Source organism: Homo sapiens, chromosome X (assembly GCF_000001405.40).
Source record: "Homo sapiens chromosome X, GRCh38.p14 Primary Assembly".
NCBI lineage: Eukaryota > Metazoa > Chordata > Mammalia > Primates > Hominidae > Homo > Homo sapiens.
Genome location: NC_000023.11, coordinates 109,607,229 through 109,613,008, shown reverse-complemented (window position 1 = coordinate 109,613,008; position 5,780 = coordinate 109,607,229).

The following is a 5,780-nucleotide window of genomic DNA, read 5'->3' as shown; positions in this document are numbered from 1 at the left end:
TCTCATACAGAGCTGAAAAGTCTTGGGTTTGTTTTTTGTTTTGTTTTGTTTTTTTGAGATGGGTTCTTACTATGTTGCCCAGGCTGGTCTTGAACTCCTGAGTTCAAGTGATCCTCCTGCCTCAGCCTCCCAAGAAGATGGGTTTACAGGCATGTGCCAGTATGCCTGGTATCATTAGGTTTTGACAGCATGCTGATGAGGATAGTGGTGATATTTGACAGAGATGAGTAATAAAAGGTGGGATGGAAAGAAGGAGACATAAAGGCAATTATGGACATGGTGAGTTTCTTAGAGATCTTTGGGGAAAGATATGAAGAAACCAGTTGAAGTGGACCTGGAGTCTAGGTGAAAGTTAGGGCCTGGGGGCCCAGACTATATAAAAGCAAACACTTGCATGAGGCTTACTATCTGTCAGACCCTGGTTCAAGTGCTCTACATACATGATCTCAATGAATCCTCATGTTACAGATGAGCAAACAGAGGCATAGAGAAACTTGCCAAAGTTACTAGCACATGACAGAGGGGTACTGAAATTCAGGCAGCCTGACTTTAGAGTCAGTGCTCATAGCCATTATGTTATGCTGCCTCTCCCTGAGGCATTGCATTTTGAATCTAGGAGAGTGGAGGCAAGGTGGAGGGCAGAGCCTTGAGAAAAATCCACATCTATGGAGAAAGACATTAGAGAAATCTGTTGAAGAAGACAGAGAAGGACAGATAAGAAAGGTAACAGGAAAGAGGAAAAATTGCAGAGGACAAAGGAGAGAAGTGTTTCAAGAAAGAGGGAGCATCTGACTCTGAAGACTTGTTGCAGCTGAAGGCTGAGAAGGAGACATTTGATTTGCTGATGACTGTCACTGGTCACCTTCCAGATGGCTAGTTAGTGGGGAACAGGGAAAGCCAGAGGGAAAGGGTTAAGGAGTGAGTTGATGGTAGGAACAGAAAATAGCCAGTATGGTCTATTCTTCCAAGAATGGTGGAGGTGAAATAAAAGGGAAAGATTATCAATTGATAAATCCTTGGAAGGAATCAGCATGGCATCTTGGATCATGCAGACAGATCAGACTTCCTGTTCTGTCACTTACTTGCTCAGTGACCTTGAGTAAGAGATTTAACTTCTTGGAGCCCCAGTTTCCCCATGATAATATTAGGGTCTACCTATCTCAGAGGGTTGGGAAGTGAGATAATGCATGTAAAATACACACAATTAGTTATTGTTATTAGTCACTCAATAAATGCCAATGAATATAGTTCAGTGATTTTGAGTGTCCAGAAAACTCCCAAATCCTGCCTCCTCAGGGTCTTTGAGATTAGTAATAACTGGACTGGTGTCTCCAACTATTGTCAATAGAAGAAGTCCTCTTGAGGTCATCTCAGCCTGGAGCCAAGTTGTAGGGGTTAAACTCAAAGCACAGCAGCTTAATGAAGATAGATGGCCCTTCAACTTAATGCCTGTCTGTACAGTGAACTGGGTAAAGCTTGTGTAAATTCCATATGTGACTGGGCAGAGAACCAGAGCTTCCCTTTAAAGGAGAAATGAATAGTCACATCCACTCCCTGACCTGGTTTCTCTAAGCACCTAAGGAAGTAAATAAATGCCTAAAGCTTCTTGGCGTTAGATGTTAAAGAAGATTGTCCACTTGTAAGATGGGAAATTCCCTCCCTTTCTCCCTCCTCCTCTACTCTCCTAAACATTACCGAGCTTTTCTTTCAGGATTGGGAATACATTTAAGGATCTTGCAAAACCCCAGAGATCCAGAAGCATCTATTGTTCAGGTAGGTATCTCTAAGAGCTGCGGAAAATTTTCCAGAATCTGAATTGAATCCACATAATTCCTTGAAAGTTCATTTTATTTTTTAAAAAGTATCTCTCCTGCCATCTGCTTCTCCACAAACTTTGGTGCATGATGACCCAAAGCCAGATTTTTGGTTATTTGAGATTTTCAAGTTCAAGATCAAGAAGAATTTATCAGAAACATGTTTTTCCAGGTGCTGGTGGTAGGGGAATTCCATCAGTGCTCAAGGCATACAGCAGTGGTCATGAAGTCAATCTGCTGGGGCTGGCAACTAACTTCAGTGCTCACTTTACAGAGCTACAGAGAACAAGTACTGACTGAGTGCTCTCTGGGCAACATGTAGGCCCTGACTCCTAGGAATTTCTGTCCAAAATCAACTTACACGAAAAGGGATGTTTTTGCTTCTCCTCTGCATTTTTCCTCTTTACACCACCCCATTTCTTTATCTCCCTCTTTGTTCTTCTGCTCATTCCCTTTGGGAATGAGTCTTTGGGGTAATCACCCACAGTTAAAACGTTTACTGCTCCCTCAGCAAGGTTAGCCTCAGAGTTGTTTGCCACTTGGAAAGACCTCTCTTCCATGGCTGAAGTTGCCTGTGTATGTCTGGTGACACTCACCAGAGTTTTCCTAAGTGGCTACCCTTTGGGAAAGAAGAGTTAGTTCTGCCTTTGGATACTCTCTGAGTGATGCGCATGGTCCTGAGTGATGTGCACGGTCCTGTAAGACTGAAATGCCTCGTGGCCCTTTTAGCTTGTGACTCTGGGTCACATTTATAGCTATACTCAAGTTTCTATACTTCCCCATCCCTCAAGTGCTCTAGGAGGTAGTTAGTTCCCTCAGAGAGTTCTCTGCTTGTATCTGAGAATCCCTCAAAATGATGCTTCCCAAGTGCCTATAAGCTGATCCGTCAGTTGTACTTACTATCCTGCTTTTTTTCTTTTCCTCCAGAACCCATTGTCCACACCAGCTATTGTGGCTAGTAGATGTCATCATGAGCATACTGGTGTCCATGCCTAGGGATCTGTCTGGCACCATATGCTCCTCTGGGAGGCACTGGAGATCTGAGTTATGAACAGAGGCAGGACAAACCATCCTTTTTATAATTCTTTTCTATACTGGGTTAGTGGAGCCCAAGGCCAGGCCTATTTATGCTTGGAGTCTCATCAAGTTGCAAGTGAATTGTTTATCAGCCTCTGAACCTCAGTGCTCACTGAGAAGCTTACAAAGTCTCCATGGGTTTCAAGAGGGACTTAAACCCAGCCCAGTGGGCCAGAGTGGGAACAGGAGCCAGGCCAGTCTTCCAAGTCAATCTCCTCTCTCCTCAGGTAAAAGTTTGTCTCCTCCCAAAGCAGCACTGTCTCCCCTACAGCAAGCAATAATTTTTTTTTCTTCCCTTCAAGATAGATTTGTAGCAACTTGGCACCACATATACAGCATCTTAGACCTCTCAGCTCCAAAGCAAGGTCTTTGCTTTTACAGTTGCATTATTAGAAGAAGCAACTTGGAGGACGACCTAGGGTTGAAGAATTGTGTCTGTGTTTGCTGCTATTTCTTTTTTTTCCAGACCAATTAAATCAGAATCCTGGGAAAGGGGTATAGACCTCAGTATTTTCTAATGATCCCATGGTGATTCTTTTTTTTTCTTTTTTAAAATTAAACAAAAATTTTTTTATTATACTTTAAGTTCTGGGATACATGAACAGAACTTGCAGGTTTGTTACATAGGTATACATGAGGCATGGTGGTTTTCTGCACCCATCAACCCATCATCTACATTAGGTATTTCTCCTAATGCTATCTCTCCCCTTGTCACCCACCCCCCAACAGGCCCCGGTGTGTGATATTCCCCTCCCTGTGCACATAAATTCTCATAGTTCAACTCCCACTTATGAATGAGAACATGCAGTGTTTGGTTTTCTGTCCCTGTGTTAGTTTGCTGAGAATGATGGTTTCCAGCTTCATCCATGTCCCTGCAAAGGACATGAACTTAGTCTTCTTTATGGCTGCATAGTATTCCATGGTGTATATGTGCCACATTTTCTTTATCCAGTCTAACATGGATGGGCATTTGGGTTGGTTCCAATTCTTTTCTATTGTGAATAGTGGTGCAATAAACATAGATGTGCGTGTGTCTCTATACTAGAATGATTTATAATCCTTTGGGTATATACACAGTAATAGGATTGCTGGGTCAAATGGTATTTCTAGTTCTAGATCCTTGAGCAATCACCACACTGTCTTCCACAATGGTTGAAGTAATTTACACTCCCACCAACAGTGTAAAAGCATTCCTATTTCTCCACATCCTCTCCAGCATCTGTTGTTTCCTGACTTTTTAATGATTGCCATTCTAACAGGCATGAGATGGTGTCTCATTGTGGTTTTGATTTGCATTTCTCTAATGACCAGTAATAATGAGCTTTTTTTCATATGTTTGTTTGCCGCATAAATGTCTTCTTTTGAAAAGTGTCTGTTCATATCCTTCACCCACTTTTTGATGGGGTTGTTTGTTTTTTTCTTGTAAATTTGTTTAAGTTCCTTATAGATTCTGGATATTAGCCCTTTGTCAGATGGATAGATTGCAAAAATTTTCTCCTATTCTGTAGGTTGCCTGTTCACTCTGATGATAGTTTCTTTTGCTGTGCAGAAGCTCTTTAGTTTAATTAGATCCCATTTGTCAATTTTGGCTTTTGTTGCCATTGCTTTTGGTGTTTTAGTCATGAAGTCTTTGCCCATGCCTATGTCCTGAATGGTACTGCCTGGGTTTTCTTCTAGGGTTTTTATGGTTTTAGGTCTCACGTTTAAGTGTTTAATCCATCTTGAGTTAATTTTTGTATAAGGTGTAAGGAAGGGATCCAGTTTCAGCTTTCTACATATGGCTAGCCAGTTTTCACAGCACCATATATTAAATAGGGAATCCTTTCCCCATTTCTTGTTTTTGTCAGGCTTGTCAAGGATCAGATGGTTGTAGATGTGTGGTATTATTTCTGAGGTCTCTGTTCTGTTCCACTGGTCTATATATCTGTTTTTGTACAAGTACCTTGCTGCTTTGGTTACCGTAGCCTTGTAGTATAATTTGAAGTCAGGTAGCGTGATGCCTCCAGCTTTGTTCTTTTTGCTTAAGATTGTCTTGGCTATACGTGCTATTTTTGGTCCCATATAAAATTTAAAGTAGTTTTTTTTCTAATTCTGTGAAGGAAGTCAGTGATAGCTTGATGGGAATAGCATTGAGTCTATAAATTACTTTGGGGAGTATGGCTATTTTCACAATATTCACTCTTCCTATCCATGAGCATGGAATGTTTTTCCAATTTTTTGTGTCCTCTCTTATTTCCTCAAGTAGTGGTTTGTAGTTCTCCTTGAAGAGGTCTTTCACATCCCTTGTAAGTTGTATTCCTAGATATTTTATTCTGTTTGTAGCAATTGCGAATGGGAATTTGCTCATGATTTGGCTCTCTGTTTGTCTGTCATTGGTGTATAGGAATGCTTGTGATTTTTGCACATTGATTTTGTATCCTGAGACTTTGCTGAAGACACTTATCAGCTTAAGGAGTTTTTGAGCTGAGATGATGGGATTTTCTAAATATACAATCGTGTCATCTGCAAACAGAGACAATTTGACTTCCTTTCTTCCTATTTGAATACCTTTATTTCTTTCTCTTGCCTGATTGCCCTGGCCAGAACTTCCAATACTATGTTGATTAGGAGTGGCGAGAGAGGGCATCCCTGTCTTGTGCCGGTTTTCAAAGGGAATGCTTCCAGCTTTTGCCCATTCAGTATGATATTGGCTATGGGTTTGTCATAAATAACTCTTATTATTTTGAGATATGTTCCATCAATACATAGTTTATTGAGTGTTTGTTTTAGCATGAAGGGGTGTGAATTTTATCGAAGGCCTTTTCTGCATCTATTGAGATAATCATGTGGTTTTTGTCATTGGTTCTGCTTATGTGATGGATTACGTTTATTGATTTGCATATGTTGAAT